Source organism: Homo sapiens, chromosome 9 (genome assembly GCF_000001405.40).
Source record: "Homo sapiens chromosome 9, GRCh38.p14 Primary Assembly".
Classification (NCBI taxonomy): Eukaryota; Metazoa; Chordata; class Mammalia; order Primates; family Hominidae; genus Homo; species Homo sapiens.
Genome location: NC_000009.12, coordinates 114,035 through 136,552, shown reverse-complemented (window position 1 = coordinate 136,552; position 22,518 = coordinate 114,035). Strand labels below are relative to the sequence as shown.

At 40.3% G+C, this 22,518-nt stretch overlaps 2 protein-coding genes and 1 long non-coding RNA gene across 26 annotated transcripts in view, besides 4 other annotated features; all 3 read left to right on the top strand.

Moving 5' to 3' along the window:
• Positions 1 to 15,716, top strand: part of ZNG1A (Zn regulated GTPase metalloprotein activator 1A) — a 58,220-nt gene extending 42,504 nt beyond the window's left edge. For 20 of the 24 annotated variants that reach the window (NR_174355.1, NR_174360.1, NR_174356.1 and 17 more), the window contains 5 exons: positions 1,523 to 1,574; positions 13,099 to 13,167; positions 13,271 to 13,336; positions 14,463 to 14,592; positions 14,980 to 15,716. Coding sequence is in view for 16 of the 24 variants with exons in the window: in NM_001399798.1 (NP_001386727.1) it covers positions 1,523 to 1,574; positions 13,099 to 13,167; positions 13,271 to 13,336; positions 14,463 to 14,592; positions 14,980 to 15,086 (424 nt within the window). In the remaining 8 variants the exon portion in view is untranslated. Of the gene's footprint in view, positions 1 to 1,522; positions 1,575 to 13,098; positions 13,168 to 13,270; positions 13,337 to 14,462; positions 14,593 to 14,979 lie in introns of those variants that run through there. The other 4 variants (NR_174357.1, NM_001399809.1, NM_001399805.1 and 1 more) reach the window with 2 other exon arrangements.
• On the top strand, positions 1,581 to 7,951 carry LOC105375942 (uncharacterized). Its single transcript, XR_929381.2, has 2 exons — positions 1,581 to 3,791; positions 4,394 to 7,951. It is a non-coding gene; the product is annotated as an uncharacterized LOC105375942 (long non-coding RNA).
• FOXD4 (forkhead box D4) lies at positions 18,136 to 20,322 on the top strand. Its single transcript, NM_207305.5, has one exon. The coding sequence runs from the start codon at positions 18,434 to 18,436 to the stop codon at positions 19,751 to 19,753; it is 1,320 nt and encodes a 439-aa protein (NP_997188.2). The 5' UTR covers positions 18,136 to 18,433; the 3' UTR covers positions 19,754 to 20,322.
• Positions 18,541 to 19,084: an enhancer, noted in NCBI's record as "H3K27ac-H3K4me1 hESC enhancer chr9:117469-118012 (GRCh37/hg19 assembly coordinates)". NCBI's record gives its function as "activates a minimal SCP1, AML or CMV promoter by ChIP-STARR-seq in naive H9 embryonic stem cells {active_cell/tissue: H9 hESC(naive)}" and the evidence as "EXISTENCE:reporter gene assay evidence [ECO:0000049][PMID:30033119]".
• Positions 19,085 to 19,628: an enhancer, noted in NCBI's record as "H3K27ac-H3K4me1 hESC enhancer chr9:116925-117468 (GRCh37/hg19 assembly coordinates)". NCBI's record gives its function as "activates a minimal SCP1, AML or CMV promoter by ChIP-STARR-seq in naive H9 embryonic stem cells {active_cell/tissue: H9 hESC(naive)}" and the evidence as "EXISTENCE:reporter gene assay evidence [ECO:0000049][PMID:30033119]".
• Positions 21,400 to 22,006: an enhancer, noted in NCBI's record as "H3K27ac-H3K4me1 hESC enhancer chr9:114547-115153 (GRCh37/hg19 assembly coordinates)". NCBI's record gives its function as "activates a minimal SCP1, AML or CMV promoter by ChIP-STARR-seq in naive H9 embryonic stem cells {active_cell/tissue: H9 hESC(naive)}" and the evidence as "EXISTENCE:reporter gene assay evidence [ECO:0000049][PMID:30033119]".
• Positions 22,372 to 22,421: an enhancer, noted in NCBI's record as "active region_28114". NCBI's record gives its function as "activates an Ori minimal core promoter by ATAC-STARR-seq in GM12878 lymphoblastoid cells {active_cell/tissue: GM12878}" and the evidence as "EXISTENCE:reporter gene assay evidence [ECO:0000049][PMID:35858748]".

The following is a 22,518-nucleotide window of genomic DNA, read 5'->3' as shown; positions in this document are numbered from 1 at the left end:
TTTGTTTTTCCTTTCTACTTCTGTCTTTTGCTATAATTTGCTGTAATACAGGTACTTTCATCAAGGCATCCAGTTCTTTATATCATTCTATATTTTTACTTGGGAGAAATAGAAATGTTGCTAATTCCATCTTACTGACAATACCTAAATTATTGTTTGTTATAGAACATAATGATTTAAATATACAAAACACTAAACTGTTTGAGATTTTTTACATTTTATGCGTGCAGAATTTACATTTTATGTGTGCAGAGACAAAAATTGTTATAAGATTACAAGTTAATGTGCAAGATGATTTCCGATTCATGAGTTTCAGGTTTTGATAGCATATCCTTATCCACTAGATTAGTCTTTTAAAAATGTGTATGATAGGGAAAAAATCGAGGGCATGAAATTCTGAGACTTGTGGGAACTAAACTTAAATGTTCGTTGTTAGATTTTTTTTTTTTTTTGCTGCGTATGAAGTTCTAGGCAGTCATTGTCCAACAACATTAAATACTGAACATATGGGAAAAGCATATGATTTTTCGAAATGTTTTTCTAAAGTAATCTCATTCTACATACACTTAAGAGCAGTTATAATGCTTTAGTGACACTTGAAGTAGCTATTTAATGTGATCTCACCACTATAGGGAAGGCCGTTGCATGACTTTTTTGTGTGTGCTTAACTGCTAAACAGGAGAATCTTTTCCTGAGCAACCAGCTGGGAAGGATTTAATTTGACATTCTCCCTACTAGGACCCCCCAAAGAGACTCATTCCCTCCAATAGTTCCTACAAGTTCTTTCTCTTTCCTAAACTTGCTGTTACTAATTTACCCCTCACTGTTTTCAAGGCAAAGCATCTGCAAGGTTTTCAGTCCTTTCCCCCTCCCGTCCTGTCCCCATCAGTGTTGAAATGTATGCTACAGTTATTATGGTTGTAATTTGTTATGCCATGTTGATCTTCTTGTGCTTTTCATATCAGAACAATGCATTTTTAACATTCTGACTTTCTTTTTCTCTCAATTGGTAACTGACTATATAGCAAATTTATATTTATGGATACTATTTCTTTTTTAATAAGTTCAAGGGAAAACATTGATAAAGGAAAATTTATCCTTGCAACTTTCTTTAGGTGCCAGCATTATTTTCATATTAGGAAGCAGGAGAAAGTTAAGGAACTCTGAGCAATACTAGAATGGTTATATATATTTAAGTTTGTATTAAACCTGTTGGAATGGTAAAGAAATTTACTGACATATTTAACCATACAAAATAGTGTTGCTAAAAGACTAGTTTTTCTCTTTATTCTGTGCATATGTATATATATGAATGTGTGGTTTTTTTTAAAGAAATTTTTAAAAAACTTAATCTGCCAGCTTTTCTCTATTGGAATTTGCGAACAACTTGTAAAATTGCAATTACAGAATATTAGAATAGTCAGTTATGGAAAGTCACTTCATTATCCTTGTGTCACTAAATAACGTATAAAGTTAAATCAGAAGTGTATTCATCTCTGAATTTCTAATCAGTTGTTTTTAGTTTGCAGAAAAAACTTCAGCATGTGCCAGGAACACAACCTCACCTTGATCAGGTAAAGAAAAAAAATCTAAATCCAAAATTCCTAATCAATGTTTTTAAAGGACCTCTTTAACTAGATAGGCTATGTTTAGGACTATTTTATTATAAACTTTTTCTAAAATGGTATTTTTGAACTGTGTTGATAATTTTTGGAATCTTAAATGCTTTTGACATAGTCTAATTCTATTTCTTAACACATAATAGGAATTCATCAAACCAGATTTGTTTTAGAATCTGAGGAAATCATGCTTTCTAGCCTTTCCATTCTGTAGATTGCTTAGCATATTGGTTAGTTCTGATAGGGATTACTCCTTAAAAGCAGCCTGGGGGTTCTATAGGCAGTCTGTTTTTAAGTATGTTGAATTGTTTAAGGAAAGGTCTGATATAAGCATGGCTTATTTAAATAAAAATTGACTTGGAGTTTCACCTTCAGGTAGCACTATAAATTTGAACTCCTTAAGATGTTTTTCATGCTCTAAAATTCTAATCCCTAAGGTAAATATCTAAGATGCTAGGAACAATTTAAATATAATTTTACTGTACCTGCGTTTCTGTTAAGCAGATCATAGATCGTAGAGCTTTAGGATAACTTCTTTGTTCCTCTTAAAACCCTGAGGGGTGGAGTGGGGGATGTGTAAGTGAGCAGTGTGCCTAATCTTCCTTCCTCTCTCTCAAGTGATCACTCAGTTTTTGAATTGCTATTGGTTGTAATAGGGCCGAGATAACAGCTACTTGCATTTGTATTCATTTTGGTTCACATTTATGAGCAGGTTTGCCACTATGTTTGTGGCACCTTTCCCTGTGAAACTTTTGTTAATAGGATATTCCTCTTCACTTATCTTTAAAATGAATAAATGAGAGAAATACAAGTCCTTGGAGATAGAATTTATGGTAAAAAAACAAAAAACCCAGTTCTTCATGATAGTCAGTATCTGTCATATAGCTGAACATGAAGCACATTTGAGCTTCTGGGTAAAGAACGTGATGCCAAGAATCATAGGGATGAAAAGATGAAGCAAACGCAGCGCTCACTTTCCATGAGCGTTTGGGGCGGCCAGTGTCTCCATCCATAGAGCCTCGAATGAACCTCTATTGTGGCGGTTACGATGCCTTGCAGTTTGCTTGAAATGCTTTTGCCTGGCATGAGTCTATACGTTCCTTACGTATAAAATCTGTATTGCTTAGTACAGGGCTTGGTGGGTACTCAGTGAGTATTTGTTACAAGAATGAAAAGCTGCGTTTCTCAAATGGGGCATAAATCAGAATCGCATGTGGAGCCTTTTTAAAAAAAATTCGATAACTCAGTAGTTCTCACCCTCAGTCTCCAGGATTGGGACTTGGGTATGTGTATATTAATGTATATTTTTAACATTTTATTATGGAAGATTTCAAAGATATAAAAGAATAAACAGAATAGTAAAGTGAACCCCTTGTATGCATCACCCAGTTTAAATGGCATCAACATTTAGCTGATTTTATTTCACCTATCCTCCCAACATTTCTTTTGCCTGGAGTATTTAAAAAAAACAAATGTATTTTAATAGGAAATTTCAAACGTGCGTAAGAGTAGAATGGTATAATGAGCCTGTATGTACCTATTGCCCTTGGTGTAGTGTATTAAAGCAAATTCCAGACACTATGTCACTTTACTACTAAATAGGGCATATCTATATTTTTGTAACCTCTGTAGGAGATTCTGATGCACTGTCCTGCTTTAGATAATATAAACATAGGGGAAAATAGTATCACAGCCAAAGGGCTATGGGATTCAGAGGCATGAACAATTTCATTTGGTTTAGTGGATCTGAGGTGTAAGGGAGGAAATTTATCTTTTCCTCGCCTATCACTAGATTCATGGCTGAGGTCTCTCTAACAGAAGACCAACTATCAAGAGAAATTTCAACATAGAAATTTATTTAGTAAGTTTTACTTGACACAGGAGCCTTCATAAAACATACCTGTGTATGTTTTCTGTTAGTTATGATATGGAAGAGGATAGTAATGGAGAAGCATAATTAGATAAAACAGTATGATCTAATAATAAACTGGGAAGAACTTAGCAAGGCCTGTTTGCTCAGATTTTTCTCTGTGACCCTTCATATTCAGACTTAAGGATGTTGTTTTCCTCTGTGTATAGAGAGGGCACCTCTTAAATGAGGGTCTTATGACCTGCATCAGCGGAAGGTCAGAAAATCTTTCCTAGGTTTTATGACCTGCTTCAGGAGAGAAGGTGAGAGTGACCTTCCTGATTCTGCCATTTTCTCAAATATTGAATTGGCATATTTTGGGATAGCATGTCCTGAACCCCATCAAATGCTTCATGAGGATAGTTTTTTGTTTGTTTGTTTTGGTTTTGGTTTATTTATTTGCATACAGTAAAGCATGCAAATGTGTAATTTTAGTGTACAATTCGATGTTTGGGTTTTGTTTTTGTTTTTGTTTTTTTGGTTTTTTTTGAGACGGAGTCTCGCTCCGGCTGGAGTCTCACCCAGGCTGGAGTGCAGTGGTGTGACCTTGGCTCACTGCAACTTCCTCCTTCTAGATTCAAGTGATTCTCATGCCTCAGCCTCCTGAGTAGCTGGGATTACAGGCATGTACCACCATGCCTAGCTAATTTTTGTATTTTTTTTTTTTTTTTTAGTAGAGATGGGGTTTCACCATGTTGGCCAAGCTGGTCTCAAACTCCTGACTTCACCTGCTTCGGCCTCCCAAAGTGCTGGGATTACAGGCGTGAGCCACTGTGCCCGGCCTCAATGTATTTTTACATATATTTGTACCTATATATCTGTCTATATGCACATTCAAACACATATCCTTCTAACTCCCACTCAGGTCAAGATACAAAAGATATCCAAAATTGTAAAGAGTTCCTTTTTGCCCCTTCCTAGTCAAAGAAGGGGTAAGTGCTATTCTGACTTACTTAACAAAAAATAACCTTGAACTGGTAGGATTTTTTTTGACGGTAGGATTTTTTTTGACGGGAAGAAGTAAGGAAAAGAGCAATACGGATGTTTAAAAATGAGAAGGTGAGAATCTTATAGATGAGTAGGTGTCTGGTACAGAAGTCTTAGTGGAGAGTTGGTACTGGAATCCTGGTCTAAGGTATTAGGTTTTAATTTGCTAGACAAAGAGAACTCAAGCAGTGCTGTCTAGGAGTGTTATGTAAGCTAGATTGGACTTTAGAGTCCGGAGACCATGCGGGAAGATACTGTGTGATAAGGGCCTGAAACATGTTGGTTACAGTGAGACTAGAAATGGGATAAATCCAGAGCTGTTTCACCAGTAGACTTGCCTGAATATCCTGTCTGACTGAGTATGGATCAGAAAGAAAAGAAGGGGTGATGGGAAACGAGCCTAGATTGACTAGAGAAACCTAGAAATAGAAAAATCGGGAAGGCAAAGTGATTTGAATGATAATGCCATATATTCAGTTGTCCCTGGTGGCCAGATATTATAGTATAGATATTATACAGGCAAAGAAGAACAGAGGGATAGAGTGTGAAGGTACAGATTTTGAGTTTAAGCACATTAGGGGGCTTAGTGTTCTGGATGAAGAAAACCTATAAAAGTTATTGTATGCTAGGTATTGTTTGCAAAAAAGTAGAAAATGGAGAAATAACCCAGTGGGTTAAAGAAGAAACAGACTAAATAAACAAACCTGAGTAAGTTGTTCCTAAATTTTATTTTAGAGACAATTCCTTATTTTGCTTTAGTTTTCTCAATTATTGGCTCACTTTTCTGTTTCTTTCTGTGTCAGCATACATGGAAAAAGGAGTTAATTTTAGATTCAAAACAAAAACTGGAAAAAAAAAGTCTGAAATGGGTAATACCTAGGACCTAGTATATATGTGTTATTAAGGCTCTATCCCTGAATTTTTAATGCAGTTATCTATTTTTCATGGATTCTTTGTTTATTCCCCATAAGGAACACCTGGGTTTGGAGAGTGGGAAGGTAGATGAGAAAACCCAAGTGACAAATAATGTTTAGTTTATTATTAGAACCAACTATGAGTTGTGACCCTTATCTTCTGCACTGGGAATTACAGATTTTTTTCAGGGTTTTTCTAACGTGAAAAGAGTTTATTGGTGTAGGAAAACATCTGGTTCCAAAATATAGATCATCCTTATTGAGCCCCATGATGCGTTATCTTAATTTTTAAAGCCTTTTTTGTCTCATACTGGAGTTTATTGTACCCCTTAAAAATATTAAGTCACATATTTAACCTGATAAAAGCAAAAATCATTATAAAAATCTTTAGGCTGGGTGTGGTGGCTTATGCTTGTAATCCTAGCGCTTTGACAGGCCAAGGTGGGTGGATTGCTTAAAACCCAGGAGTTGTAGACCAGCCTGGGCAACATGGTGAAACCCCATTTCTGCAAAAAATACAAAAAATTAGCCAGGCATGGTGGCATGTACCTGTAATCCTAGCTACTCGAGAGGCTGAAGTGGGAGGATTGCTTTAGCTTGGGAGTTCAAAGCTGCAGTAAGCCATGATTGTGCCACTCTACTCCAGCCTGGGCAACAGAGTGAGACCCCATCTCAAAAAAATTTATTAAGTTAAAATCTTTAACAATAAAGCCATTTGGAGTCGTATTTTGCGACATTCTCAATATAGTTTTCCAACTTGCATTAAAATACATTTTAAACATTTTTGAAGACTAAATTTATTTTTTTTTAACTGACAGTTATGTTTCATTTGACAACCTTTTGCTGTATATTTTTATGTGGACTTTTAGGTATTGTAGTGATTCCTTTAATGAAGAAATAAAATAATTGTCATTTAAAAATGCATATTATTATTACCTTATGCTATAAAAATAGTTTTAAAATAGAGTATGTTTATTAAGATTTAAAAATAAGTATAGTCATGCACCGCATAACAGCGTTTTAGTCAGACTGCATAAGATTACGATGGAGCTGAAAAATTACTGTCACGCAAATACTTACCATTGCGTTATTATTTCCATACACTGTTCAGTACAGTAACATATATGCTGTACAGGTTTGTAGCCTAGGAGCAACAGGCTATACAGCATAGCTTAGGTGTGTAGTAGGTTATACCATCTAGGTTTGTGTAAGTGCACTATCATGTTTGTATAACAACAAAATTGCCCAACAGCTCATTTCTCTTTATGTATCCATGACTGTATATTTTTTATTGTGGTAAAAAACACTTAACATGAGACCTACCTTCTTCCACAAATTTTTAAGGGTACAATATAGTATTGTTAACTGTCTGTACATTGTTACATAGCAGACCTCTGGACCTTTTCATCTTGCATGACTGAAATTATCCCCATTGAACAGCCCCCCCCAATTTTCGTCTCCCTCTCACCCCTGGTAACCACCGTTTTACTTTCTGATTTGATGAGTTTCACTGTTTTAGACACCTGATATTAGTGGATTCATGCAATATTTGTCCTTCTGTGACTGGCTTATTTCACTTAGTGTAATGTCCTCAAGATTCATCCATGTTGTAGTATATGACGGGATTTTTTTTAAGGATACATAATATTTGGTTGTATGTATATTACCACATTTATTTTATCCATTCAACTGTCCTGGACATTTAGGTGGTTGTTAGTGTCTTGACTGCTGTGACAAAATAAGTACTTTTAAAAGTCTCACATTTGCAAGTTCAATTTGAACCTTTTTTTAGTCTGCTTGTACTTCTCTTATCAAGCAAGAAAGCACTTTTCTGCTTTTCCTATTACTAGTAACAGTGGAGATTAAATATCTCATGTTTTTGGGCATTCTAGAGCCCAACACATCACCTGTTCCTTTCCATACTACCACAACTGACACTCTCTGGAAAGTGCCACCTCCCTGCAGCAGGCCAACCAGTACAAAAATAGTACATTAAACCAGCAAAGCTAAGAACCCTCAAAGAGTACATTTCACCCTCCTACCGCCTCCACTGGAACAGGTGCTGGTATCCACAGCTGAGAGACCCACAGATGGTTCACATCTCCCGACTCTGTGCAGACTACCCCCCAGTACCAGCCTGGAGCCTGGTAGACTTGCTGGGTGGCTAGATCCAGAAGAGAGATAGCAATCACTACAGCTCAGCTCTCAGGAAGCCACATCCATAGGAAAAGGGAGAGAGTACTACATCAAGGGAACACCCCGTAGGACGAAAGAATCTGAACAACAACCTTCAGCCCTAGACCTTCTCTCTGACAGAGCCTACCCAAATGAGAAGGAACCAGAAAACCGACCCTGGTAGTATGACAAAACAAGGTTCTTTAACACCCCCCAAAAAATCCCACTAGCTCACCAGCAATGGATCCAAACTAAGAAGAAATCCCTGACTTACTTGAAAAAGAATTCACTAGGTTGGTTATTAAGCTAAGGCACCAGAGAAAGGTGAAGCCCAATGTAAAGATATATAAAAAAAAAGATACAAGAAGTAAAGGGAGAAATATTCAATGAACTAGATAGCATAAATAAAAAACAATCAAAACTTTAGGAAATAATGGACATACTTATAGAAATATAAAATGCTCTGGAAAGTCTTAGCAATAGAATTGAACAAGTAGAAGAAGGAAATTCAGAGCCTGAAGACAAGGTCTCCTAATTAACCGAATCCAATAAAGACAAAGAAAAAAGAATAAGAAAATATGAAGAAAGCCTTCAAGAAATCTGGAATTATGTTAAATGACCAAACCTAAGAATAACCGGCATTCCTGAGGAAGAAGAGAAATCTAAACGTTTGTTAAACATATTTGGGGGAATAATTGAGGAAAACTTCCCCAGCTTTGCTAGAGACCTAGATCCAAATACAAGAAGCACAAAGAACATCTGGGAAATTCATCGCAAAAAGATCATCATCTAGGCACATTGTCGTCAGGTTATCTAAAGTTAAGATGAAAGAAAGAGCTGTGAAACAAAAGCAGCAGGTAACCTGTAAAGGAAAACTTACCAGATTAACAGCACATTTCTCAGCAGAAACCCTGCAAGCCAGAAGGGATTGGAACCCTATCTTCAGCCTCCTCAAACAAAACAATTATCAGCTGAGAATTTTGTATTCAGCAAAACTAAGCTTCATATATGAAGGCAAGATACAGCTTTTTCAGACAAACAGAGAATTCACCACTACCAAGCCACCAGTGCAAGAATGCTAAAAGGAACTCTAAATCTTGAAACAAATCCTGGAAACATATCAAAACAGAACCTCTTTAAAGCATAAATATCACAGGACGTATAAAACAAAAATACAATTAGAAAAACAACAAAAACCAGAAAAACAAGGTATACAGGCAACAAATAGCATGATGAATAGAGTGGTACCTCACATCTCAATACTAACATTGAATATAAATGGCCTAAATGCTCCACTTAAAAGATACAGAATTGCAGAATAGGTAAGAATTCACCAACCAACTATCTGTTGCCTTCAAGAGTCTCACCTAACACATAAGGACTCACATAAACTTAAGGTAAAGGGATGGACCAAGACATTTCATGCAAACGGACACCAAATGTGAGCAGGAGTAGCCATTCTTATATTAGACAAAACAAACTTTAAAGAAACAGCAGTTTAAAAAGACAAAGAGGGACATTATATAATGAAAAAAGGCCTTGTCCAACAGGAAAGTATCACAATCCTAAACATATGCACCTAACACTGGAGCTCCCAAATTTATAAAAGAATTACTAATAGACCTAAAAAATTAGACAGACAGCAACACAATAATAGTGAGGGATTTTAATACTCCACGGACAGCACTGGACAGGTCATCAAGACAGAAAGTCAACAAAGAAACAGTGGATTTAAACTATACCTTGGAACAAATGGAGTTAAAAGATATATACAGAATATTCCATCCAACAACCACAGAATATACGTTCTGTTCAACAGCACATGAACTTTCTGTAAGATAGACCATGTGATAGCCAACAAAATGAGCCTCAATAAATTTTAAGAAAATTAAAATTATATCAAGCACTCTGTCAGACCACAGTGGAATAAAACTGGAAATCAACTCCAAAAGGAACCTTCAAAACCATGCCGATACATGGAATAACCTGCTCCTGAATGATCAGTGGGTCAAAGATGAAATCAAGATGGAAATGTAACAATTCCTCAAACTGAACGACAAGAGTGACCCAACCTGTCAGCCTCTGGGACACAGCAGAGGCGGTGCTAAGAGGAAGGTTCACGGCCCTGAGCGCCTCCATCAAAAAGTCGGAAAGAGCACAGACAATCCACGGTCACACCTCAAGGAACTAGAGAAACAAGAACAAACCCAGCAGAAGAAAGGAGATCAGAGCGGAATTAAATGAAATTGAAACAAAACAACAAAAAAAATCCAAAAGATAAATGAAACAAAAAGCTGGTTCTTTGAAAAGATAAATAAAATTGATAGACCGTTAGCAAGATCAGCCAAGAAAAGAGAGAAAATCCAAATAAGCTCAATAAGAAATGAAACGGGAGATATTACAACTGACACCACAGAAATACAAAAGATATTCAAGGCTACCATGAACACCTTTACATGCATAAACTAGAAAACCTAAAATAGATGGAGAAATTCCTGGAAAGATACAACCCTCCTAGCTTAAATCAGGAAGAATTACCCTGAACAGACCAGTAACAAGCAGGGAGATTGAAATGGTAATTAAAAAATTACCAACAAAAAAATGTCCAGGACTAGACGGATTCACAACAGAATTCCACCAGATATTCAAAGAAGACTTGGTACCAGTCTTAAAGACACTATTCCACAAGAGAGAGAAAGAAGGAATCCTCCCTAAATCATTCTATGAAGCCAGTATCACCCTAATACCAAAACCAGGAAAGGACATAACCAAAGAAGAAAACTACAGACCAATATCCTTGAACATAGATGCTAAAATCCTTAAGAAAATTCTAGCTAACTGATTCCAACAACATATCAAAAAGATAATCCACCATGATCAAGGGGTTTCATACCAGGGATGCAGGGATGGTTTAACATACACATGCGCGTAGCCAAAGCAAGACTAAGCAAAAAGAACAAATCTGAAGGCATCACATTACCTGATTTCAAACTTATACTATAAGGCCATAGTCACCAAAACAGCATGGTACGGTTATAAAAATAGTCACATGGACCAATGGAACAGAATAGAGAACCCAGAAATAAATACTTACAGCCAACTGATCTTCAACAAAGCAAACAAAAACATAAAGTGGAAAAAGGATACCCTTTTCAACAAATGGTGCTGGGATAATTGGCTAGCCACATGTAGGAGAATGAAACTGGATCCTCCTCTCTCACTGTATACAAAAATCAACCCAAGATAAATTAAAGACTTAAATCTAAGACCTGAAACTATAAAAATTCTAAAAGATACCATTGGAAAAATCATTCTAGACATTGGCTTAGGCAAGGATTTCATGAACCCAAAAGCAAATGCAATAAAAACAAAGATAAATAGCTGGGACTTAATTAAACTAAAGAACTTTTGCACAGCAAAAGGAACAGTCAGCAGAGTAAACAGACAACCCACAGAGAAGGAGAAAATCTTTCATAATATATACATCTGAAAAAGAACAAATATCCAGAATCTACAATGAACTCCAACAAATCAGCAAGAAAAGCAGTCCCATCAAAAAGTGGGCTAAGGACATGAATAGACAATTCTTAAAAGAAGATATACAAATGGCCAATAAACATATGGAAAAATGCTCAACATCACTAATGATCAGGGAAATGCAAATCAAAACCACAGTGCGATACCACCTTACTTCTGCAAGAATGGCCATAATAAAAAAATCAAAAAAATAGTAGATGTTGGCATGGATGTGGTGAACACGGAACACTTCTACACTGCTGGTGGGAATGTAAACTAGTACAACCACTATGGAAAACTGTGGAGATTCCTTAAAGAACTAAAAGTAGAACTACCATTTGGTCCAGCAATCCCACTACTAGGTATCCACCCAGAGGAAAAGAAGTCATTATACGAAAAAGATACGTGCACACGCATGTTTATAGCAGCACAATTGGCAATTGCAAAAACGTGGAACCAACCCAAAGGCCCATCAATCAATGCGTGGATAAAGTAACTGTGATATATATGCATACAATGGAATACTCCTCAGCCATAAAAAGGAGTGAATTAATGGCATTCGCAGTGACCTGGATAAGATTGGAGACTATTATTCTAAGTGAAAGAACTCAGGAATGGAAAACCAAACATCGCTATGTTCTCACTCATAAGTGGGAGCTAAGCTATGAGGATGCAAAGGCATAAGAATGACACAATGAACTTTGGGGACTCAGGGAGAAAGGGTGGGAAGGGGATGAGGAATAAAAGACAAAAATTGGGTGCAGTGTATACTGCTCAGGTGATGGGTGTACCAAAATCTCACAAATCACCACTAAAGAAGTTAACCAACACCACCTGTTCCCCAGTAACCTATGGAAAGAAAGAAATGTCTCATATGTTTCTGCCTAAATTGGTCTTTAATACTTTAGCGATTCTCTTGAGTTTGGATTATAAAATAGTTTTGGTCTTTTTGTATTTTCTGCTGTAAGCCTGTATGATTATGTAATGGTGAGTAAAATTGCTAGGCCAGATATGCAGTTCTAGGAAGTTATGCAAAGATGTGCTTTAGTATATTATTTTCTACCTTTTTAAATTCATTTTGAGCTTGGCTTTTGAGCCTCTATTTTCCAAGGTGGGGTGTATGTTTTTATAATGTTATGCTTAGCCCTTGTGTATTTTCATCTCTGAGTTTGAAATTTGGGGTTATATTGGCAAAGGGAGGTTTGGGTTTTAATTAGGTGACCTGTTAGAGGAAATGTTAAGCTTCTGTTTCTTTAGGGTAGACAGTGAGAGATTTATCAAGATAAAGAAGAAAAATAAATCCTAAAGTTAATATTCAATACATGATGATGTCCCCCTTACTAAAGCCAAAGAGGGCATTATCCTATCATTCTCATCGCTAAGAACTCTTCTCCTCTTGGCACATGCTTATTCAGTTAAAGATAAGCCAAGCCTTTCTTTTGTATTTTTTTTTAAGAGAACAGATTTACTTTGGTTTTGAGTTTTATTCCTGGCTCTGGGTAGCTTATTTTTTTGACCCTTATTTTCCCCAATTTATAAAATGAAATAGTTATCTTCACTCCCCAGGATTGTTGTGAAGAGTAAGTCAAAAGATAAAATGAGGTGACTCAGGCAAAAGTACCTGGCCCTGTGTAGTGAGTACATTGTATGTGTTACATATATTCTTATTGCTGAGAATCCACGAAAGAATGAATTAAATAATGAGGACCCCTTCATCAGGGTTTTTGAGTGAGTTTTTTAAAATACAAGGTAGTAGTTTGTGTAAATACTAAATCCATTGGTACCTGTGCAGAATGTAGGAAATGGAGTTGCTAATTCCAAAAAAACAGCACATATGCTGAGGAAAGTATAATACCTAATATATATGGTTTAAGCAATGTAAAATTCCATGAATATGTTCCTTTTCATCTTAAAATTTGTGATTTAAAAAACATTGATATTACTATAAAGAATTATTGTTATTTCCCTTGATTTACAGAGTATTGTTACAATCACATTTGAAGTACCAGGAAATGCAAAGGAAGAACATCTTAATATGTTTATTCAGGTGAATGCAATTTTTAACTGATTAATGATTTATCAATGGTTTTGTTACATAGTTGTTGCTATTAGCGATGGTTGGTCTTATTAAAATATGTCACTTGATACAGAATCTCCTGTGGGAAAAGAATGTGAGAAACAAGGACAATCACTGCATGGAGGTCATAAGGCTGAAGGTACAGTTTACTGTTGCAGACTTTCGGACAAAGTCCTTTTCTTGGCTGTTATAAAAACTATATTTGGTTTTAAACAGAAACACTTGTTTTAGTACAAATCATCTTTGTCTACTTTCATTTTTCTTTATTATTTTCGTGACTGAAAAGGAGCTTTGGAAATCACTGCATAAGGCTTGATTTATTTGCACAACTTTCTTTAGGGTTGCAGCTAGAACAAACCTGTGTGCTTTGAAATGTTACCTTCTGCTCTCTGTTCCCAAGTACAGAGAAATAATGTTGCAAATCTCACTTCTGCTGAACATTATGCTTCCTGATGCATTTAGCAGACACTAAACATTTGTCATACTCTAAACAAAGTTACAAAGGACTAGAAGAATTCTTGTTCTGTATTTAGAAACCCACTCACGTTACTTGATATTTGGGTATTTAAGTCATGAAAGGTATTTCTTCTAGGAAGCAGTGATTCTAAAGTGTATGCTTAACCAGTCAGTTGAGTGTCTACTCTTGTGTGTTCACAAGTGTGCACAAAGTTTTTGGTAAATTAAGAATATTATTTCAAATAAATTAATTTCATCCCCATAGGAGCCAGTTTATCAGATAATTCGTTTCTCATTTCTGCAAATCAATACACAATGAGCTCATATTCAGATAAATATAATAGTTTTTCTTTATTTCATCATTGTTCATTGATTGCAACCCATTTCTAAAACAAATTATTTAATATAACCAAACTCCTTTAACTTCTCAACTTTTCCCACGAAAACTGTGAAACATTATATAAAATCTTTAATCAATAGGATATGATACATATTTCATCATTTTGTTTCAGGTTTTGGTTGTGATAAATAACACTGAAAAACCATCCTAATATATGTATTAACTTTATCATTAGAAAAGGGGATTGTTCAAAAAGAAAATCAATACACAGAAACCTTTTTTGAAAATTAAAAACATTAAGAAACTTCTTGTAATTCACAAATAATTGGAATTAAGTAATTTTCTCAGCTTAAGAGTTTGTATTTTTTAAGTGAATATCAGTAATTAATCCATTAACATTGATGCTCTATTTCTGCTTTTAAGTTTGAACTGAGGCTGATTAATGTTCAGTCAATTCTCCTTTGAGCAGGGATTGGTGTCAATCAAAGACAAATCACAACAAGTGATTGTCCAGGGTGTCCATGAGCTCTATGATCTGGAGGAGACTCCAGTGAGCTGGAAGGATGACACTGAGAGAACAAATCGATTGGTCCTCCTTGGTAAGTCTCAAAGGATTCACAGTTTTAAAACAAAGTGAAAAATATATTTGAAAGGGATATCATGTGCCACTTAAACAGATTAACCATTCAGGTCCTCTTTTAAAACTAAATAAGCTTGTGGTCAATGTTTCATCTTTATCACGTTACAACGTTCGTAAAAGCTTGTTAGGACTTTTGTTCTTCTTCAGTTTTAGAAAAGTGGTTAATCCAAGGACCAATGTGACTTTGATGTACTGACCTGGAAAGTTAAAGATGGAATCACTCAATTACTATTCTTTTTGTAAATTTCTAAACACCATAAAGCATTTAATGAACTGGAATTGATAGGTGAACTGTGTCATTTTAATAAGCATAATGTAATCACGTCATATTTTGTTTTGTTTGCAGGCAGAAATTTAGATAAGGATATCCTTAAACAGCTGTTTATAGCTACTGTGACAGAAACAGAAAAGCAGTGGACAACACGTTTCCAAGAAGATCAAGTTTGTACATAACACTAGAGGCATTTCTTATCAAAAGGATTGGATAATAAAAATAAGTTTCTACTGGGTATATTTCAAGCATTTATTTATTACTTTAGTTACGAATTCCAATATACTTTAAAATGGTATTTGTTTTACAGCATACATAAAATGTAGCAAATCAGTACTGTAAAACATTTAACATTCATACAGTTATATATAATATCCTTTTTTTTAAAGAATGGTATTTCACAAAAATATCTTTTGAAATTGGCTTTGGAGTTTACATATACTGAACATGAAAGTTTATAATAATGATGATACAACTTTCAACATTGTCATTTTTTCTTAGAACTTCAGCTGATTGCAGAGATATAATGATTACATTGTTATTAAATTTTTTTAACACAAGTAAGTGTCACCATTTTATGACATGAAATAAAAGGTTATGACTGTTATTGATGTTGATGTTGACGACCTGATCACCTGGCTGAAGGAGTGTTTGTCAGGTTTCTCCATTGTAAAGTTACTCTTTTCCCCCATTTCATACTGTGCTCTTTGGAAGGAAATCACTATGCACAGCCCACACTAAAGGAATGGGGAGTTGTAGTGTACTTTCTTGGGAGTGGTCTACATGATTAATTGAAATTCTTCTGCAAAGGACAGTTGTCCCTTTCGCTTTATTAGTTCGATCATTTATGTTTATCAGTGTGGACACATGAATATTTTATACTTTGGGTTACAATTTAATACTGCTTTATTTTGTTGCTCAAATTATCCCAGCTTTGACCATTGGGAACTCTTTCCGTTATCTCCTGTTCCCACCTTTGACATACCCCCATCAATGTGGGTTTTGTGTTTTGTTTTTGAGTGCCTCCTTACTTTTCTCCTGTATTTTTAAATAACCCCAATCCCTATTGAAGCTGGCGCTAGGAAAACTAACAATACTCCCTTTCCCAGGTCATCCGATTCCTATGCTGATGGAGGAAATTTGCCTCACATGCTGGGGGCGCTGGGATTTTGTGGTTGAATAAGACACCTGGCCTGGCCCTCCTGGAGCTTAGTTTAGTAGGTCACACAAGCAGTCATTGGTAAATTTGGGATTCAAACAAATCTGTTAGGCTCAAACCTGTCTGTTATTTGTCCTCCAAGCTTCATATAAACTGAGGAGCCTTAAAGGGTAAAAACTTCAGGAGCAGCAAAGTTTCAAAAAAAGATCAGCAAGAAAGCCCTTTTCCAGATTTTATCCTGAAGGCACTAGCTACTTTAAGCTATTTTTTATTATATTTTGCCCTTGCAGTTGGCGTTTGATTTCTCACTGAACATTCATTGTCATAATTATAGACACTATGTGACTATCAAGGGCATAATATTCTTTCATGCTGCATTTTTATTAGATGGCACCTCAAAGTTTTCCCAAGTAGGTGGGTTTTAAATTATGAATATATACCGTGGCATAGTATCTTACTTAGTATTTTAATAAGATCCTTATTTATATAACAAATATTTTTTTTATTCCTCTGTAGTGCTACTTTAGTCTCTGAGCTAATTTTCATGAAGCCAATCTAAAAATCGTGTTACTTCTAAGGATGTGGAGCGAGTGAGATGAACAGTTGTGCTGTCATATTGCCCCTCCCCAGTGCAGACAGTGAATGAGGACCCACTGATTTAAAGGCAACACTGCAGCCCCTTCTTGCCTCATTGAAGTCCCAAGTTTTATTACAGTAAAAGCACTTAATGTTGACATTTCTGAAAGAATGAAGAGGCCGGGCGTGGTGGCTCACGCCGGTAATCCCAGCACTTTGGGAGGCTGAGGCGGGCGGATCATGAGGTCAGGACATCGAGACCATCCTGGCTAACACGGTGAAACCCCGTCTCTACTAAAAATACAAAAAATTAGCCGGGTGCGGTGGCGGGCGCCTGTGGTCCCAGCTACTTGGGAGGCTGAGGCAGGAGAATGGCGTGAACCCGGGAGGCGGAGCTTGCAGGGAGCCGAGATCCCGCCACTGCACTCCAGCCTGGGCGACAGAGCGAGACTCCGCCTCAAAAAAAAAAAAAAAAAAAGGAAAAAAAGAATGAAGAGCCAGAGCCAGGCATAGTGGCACGCCTGTAGTCCCACCTACTCAGGAGGCTGAGGCGGGAGGATCACTTGAGCCCAGGAATTCAAAGCCAGCCTGCGCAACATAGACCCTGTCTCTAAAAATGAATTGGTTATAAAGGATGAAGAAAGGAAGGAGGAAAGGGAGAGAGAGAAGCCCTTATAGAGTGGGTGCATTTCTTGTATGTGGGGCCACTTTGTAAGAACAGGATTTTTCAAACTGGGCCCATACTGGTATGTGTGAAATCAATTTAGTTGGTTATGGCCATTTTTTTTTAAAAGGAAATATCAGTGATCACTATAGTGTAAGTATATTGTTTCGTGAAAGCCATCTTAGTTATGTATTATGTCTGTATGTGTAAGATTGTGATATAAAATGTATTTCTGTGGTTAAATATTCAAAGAAATTGGAGAACCATTGCTACAAGGGGACAGAGGACTCCGTGTGAGCTCTCCTGCCTTCCCTGAATAAACTTACACAATTTAGTGCTGGGACATTTGAACCTTTTCTGAAAATTTGAGTCAGGGAGAGCATCTTGGGGAGGTGGGAAGGAAGGTAGAAGGAGCAAAGCAACACCCCCCTGAAGCCTGGGAATATTGTCAGAACCTTAAATATAATTCAGCTCACCATTCTGGGTAAGGACAGACTCTACCAATGAAAATGGGTGATTACCAGCTGTGAAACACAAAAACATACTTTCACGGTTACACATTCCTTTACAAACAACCGTGTACATTTCAGCCTCCTACCCCACCATTTCTTTTCTCCAGGCGGGAAGGCTGCATGTCGAGGTGGTCGTAGAATGTTGAGTATCCTACTTTCCTACCTCGCTTTTATTTGCGCGGGTTTAAATGCGCCTTAACAGAACCCGTGCAAAGGCTTGCCTACTGTCTGGCTGCACCGGATGAGTAGAGCATCTTCCTTGGTGGCAGGTGGGTGCGAGGAGGAGGGCGCTGGGCTTTTCTCCGGACGGTGTTTGCCCAGAAGACCATCATCCCTGGACTACGTTAGGAGGAAGTGGCACCGCTCCGAGGTAGGGGAAGAAGGGTTATAAAGGGAGGCGTCCACCACACATGGTCTTGAAGAAGCTTTTATAAAAGGCGAAGGCATCTTTGCCGGACGTTGTTGCAAAGGCGTAGAAACAAGCAGAGGAAAACATCCCAAAGGGTAACCACTAGCGTTCCTGCTTCTTGCAACATTCATCCCGGGCTTCCAGCTCAGCCCGCCGGGGCCAGGTGATCCGGCCGCCACATCCCCTGCGACTGAAGCACCTGCTCCGCCATGAACTTGCCAAGAGCTGAGCGCCTTCGCTCCACACCGCAGCGCAGCCTCCGGGACTCCGATGGGGAAGACGGTAAAATCGATGTCCTGGGAGAGGAGGAAGATGAAGACGAGGAGGAGGCGGCGAGCCAGCAGTTCCTAGAGCAGTCGCTCCAGCCGGGGCTGCAGGTGGCCCGGTGGGGCGGGGTTGCGCTTCCCCGAGAGCACATCGAGGGCGGCGGCGGCCCGAGCGACCCCTCAGAGTTTGGCACCGAGTTCAGGGCACCGCCAAGGTCTGCGGCGGCCTCTGAAGATGCCCGGCAGCCGGCAAAGCCCCCCTCCTCGTACATCGCGCTCATCACCATGGCCATCCTGCAAAGCCCGCACAAGCGCCTCACGCTCAGCGGCATCTGCGCCTTCATTAGTGACCGCTTCCCCTACTACCGCCGCAAGTTCCCCGCCTGGCAGAACAGCATCCGCCACAACCTCTCGCTGAACGACTGCTTCGTCAAGATCCCCCGCGAGCCGGGCCGCCCAGGCAAGGGCAACTACTGGAGCCTGGACCCCGCCTCCCAGGACATGTTCGACAATGGCAGCTTTCTCCGGCGTAGGAAGCGTTTCCAGCGCCACCAACCGACCCCGGGAGCCCACCTGCCCCACCCCTTCCCTCTACCTGCTGCACACGCCGCCCTGCACAACCCCCGCCCAGGCCCTCTGCTTGGGGCCCCTGCCCCGCCGCAGCCAGTCCCGGGGGCCTACCCCAACACCGGCCCCGGGAGACGCCCTTACGCTCTGCTGCACCCGCATCCTCCTCGCTACCTACTGCTCTCGGCCCCCGCCTATGCCGGGGCACCGAAGAAAGCAGAAGGCGCGGACCTGGCGACCCCGGCACCCTTCCCGTGCTGCAGCCCTCACTTGGTCCTCAGCCTTGGGAGGAGGGCAAGGGTCTGGCGTCGCCACCGGGAGGCGGATGCATCTCTTTCAGCATTGAGAGTATCATGCAAGGGGTCAGGGGAGCGGGTACAGGGGCTGCGCAGAGTTTGTCCCCGACCGCGTGGAGCTACTGCCCCCTGCTCCAGCGACCGTCAAGCCTGTCGGACAATTTTGCAGCAACAGCAGCGGCATCAGGAGGAGGACTGCGCCAACGGCTGCGCTCCCACCAAGGGCGCGGTGCTGGGCGGGCACCTGTCGGCCGCGTCGGCGCTGCTGCGGTATCAGGCGGTGGCAGAGGGCTCTGGGCTGACATCGCTGGCCGCCCCTTTGGGCGGAGAGGGGACCTCACCAGTTTTTTTAGTATCGCCCACGCCCAGTTCCCTGGCCGAGTCCGCAGGGCCCTCCTAGAGCCAGGTGGGAGTGGGGAGCGACCCGCAGCTGCTCACTCCACCTTGCGCGGCCCATACTGGGCGTGTGCATCTGAATCCCGCTGGAGAGCAAACACGAACTTCTGTTCCCTGCAAAATGGTTAGAAAGAAACAGCTGGATTACGTTCCTCTAAAAACCACCTGAACGTAACCTTCGCAGGGCGTCAAGTCATCTTTTCTTGCCTTCGGTTGTGGCTTCTGTGGCTTTCCCGATTTGCACATGTCCTGGGGTACTATGAACGTGAGTGGGGTATTTTGTTCTGGCATTAAAAGAAAAACAAGCAAGCAAACAAAAACACAGCCTCCGATGCCAAACATGTTCCCCCTTCTTCACTTCCTTGGAACTGGAAGTATTATTCCTAAGTCTAGTGCAAAATGCTTCTACTCTCTGTGTCTTCCTGATAGGGATGTTTAATGTAAGTAGGATATTAATTTCAGAACATTGATTTCTTATCTGTGTGTCTGACGTGCCATCTTTAATGTTAAAATTAAGGTGTTAAAATTAAGCCTAGTTATATAGACGAAATAAAATGCTAAGTCACTACACTACATCGTTTATTTTCTATTACGTCTCATTCTTCCCTTTCTAAATGGAACTTTTTAAAACCTACATTATTTTCCCTCAATTTATTTTCACAATTCATATTTATTATAGATAGCAGAAGTAATCCATTTTAATATGGCCTTTAAAAATTCCAAATATTTGAGGTTGAAAATGTCCTGGCTTTTAAAATAGGAAATTTACTATTTATGAGACTTCTAAAAGAATGAATAGGAGGGCATGTAAATATATTCTCCATTTATTTTTCCTCACCCCCCAACAAGCTGGAAAACCATTTGAGATCAATTTGGAATGTAGTGGCCAACATGTACTCAGGGAAAATAAAAGGCTATAAATATACATATATATATATATATATATATATATATATATATATATATATATATATATATATACACATTTTTTAAGCACTAGAATTTTCAAAACTTATTTCCTAAAAAAAAAACTCTGAAAAGACTTTGCAACTAGAAAGGTTTAAGTGTTACTCGGCGTCAGGGGACGGAGTGGGGGGAAACCAGACAAGAACGCCCATCATGAATTGCTCCCCACAAAGAAAACAAATTTCTAGGAACTTGGCCGTTTTCCCCTGTCCCGAGTGGGGTTCCCGATTCCGTGCCGCTTTGAGGGAAGCTGCTCTGTGAATGTGAGAAAGTTTTTCCCCCAGCCCCCATCTACTCCCCACCCCCAGCTATGAATTTCTTATTTCAGGAGGGAGGACAAACATGGAGACACATTTTTACAGGAGTCTAATTGGCCGATTTTTCTCCGGCTTCTCTTCTCCATCCCGTCTCTTGGAATTTCTTGGCATGCCCTACCTGAGATCCCCTACGGGAGATTTCCTCTTGGCTCCTGCGGTTCTGAGGACGTTCTGAAAAGTTCCCAAGCCCCATCTTTGGTAGCTGCCCAGACCCCAGCTTCCAATTCTTCCCTCTTCTTTGCACAGGCAGCCGTCAGCCCCATAGCCCCACCGGCGTCCAGAAGAGACCACTTTTAGCAAATCCGGCAGGGCTGGGGCAGTCTAAGAGTTTGGAAACAAACTGAGAATAGAGGGATCCTATGTCATGCCAGCTTCTCGCTGGTTTACGCTCCAACTCCCCTCTGTCCGTTGTGCGAAAACGTCTCCGGGCCGACCTTCCTTCATTTATTGCCAACAAACGTCCTGGGAGAGCGGCTACAGCCGCTGAACCCAGAAGGGACTTTCTCCAGGCTTTCTTGGCACCCTCCCAATCATCTTCCTTCTCTTGCCCGAGGGCAGATCACCCGGCTACGAACGTGGGTGACTGAGGGTCAGGCCCCTTCCCGGAACCGCCTCCAAGCTCCTAACTTTTGCCTAATGTGAAACCATATCCAAAGATGAATATTTAAACCATCAGTTCAGCGGCGGAGTAAATTGAACGTTATTCTCCGATCAAACAGGAGCTTCGGGTCCACCTGTTTGGAAGCTCCCAGGCGGCTTGGAGGGGTCCGGCCTTCGGGCGCGACCCGCAGGGGTTGCCTTGCCCGGCTCGCGGAACGGACGTTTACCCGTCGCAGCCACGAACCCACCAACGACACCAAGCACTGGCCGGGCAGACCAGGCGTCGTGGAGGCGCCCCAGCCCCCCAGCCCCCCGCAACGACGCGTCCCAGGGGTGCGCAGTGCTTGGCGCGGTGACCGGACCCGGCCGCCTTCCCGACCGCGCAGAGCGAGAGGCCACACCCTGGATCCCAGGCCGGGTCCCTGCGGTTCTGGGAGGGAGGTCCCGGACGCCTCCCAGATCTCGGGCTTCTGTAACCCCGAGGCCGGGTTTTAAAATCACGGCTCTTCCGAGTTACACGGAGAGTCCGTGGTCAAGGGTCAAGGGCGGCCTTCGACCCTCGGGATCGTCTTCTTGAGAAATGGCTGAGAGCTAAGCCTAGAGCTGCGCAGGGAAGGGAGCCAAAGAGCTGGCGCCGAGCGCGAAGGGCCGGGAGGCGCGGGGAGGCCCCTTACCCGCCCCACTGTCCTGCCCGCCAATGACGCCGATGACAGCGACAGCGTCGGCCGAGTGCTTCCCCTGCTCCGGGTCGTCCAGGCACCGGGTCCTCCTTCAGCACTCGCAGCACGCACTGAAGAAGACGCTACGGAAGTCTCCGTTTTCCAGACTCGGGGGAATTAGGAAACGCGCCCGGCGACCCTCGGGCAGTAGCACCGGGCCAGGTTTG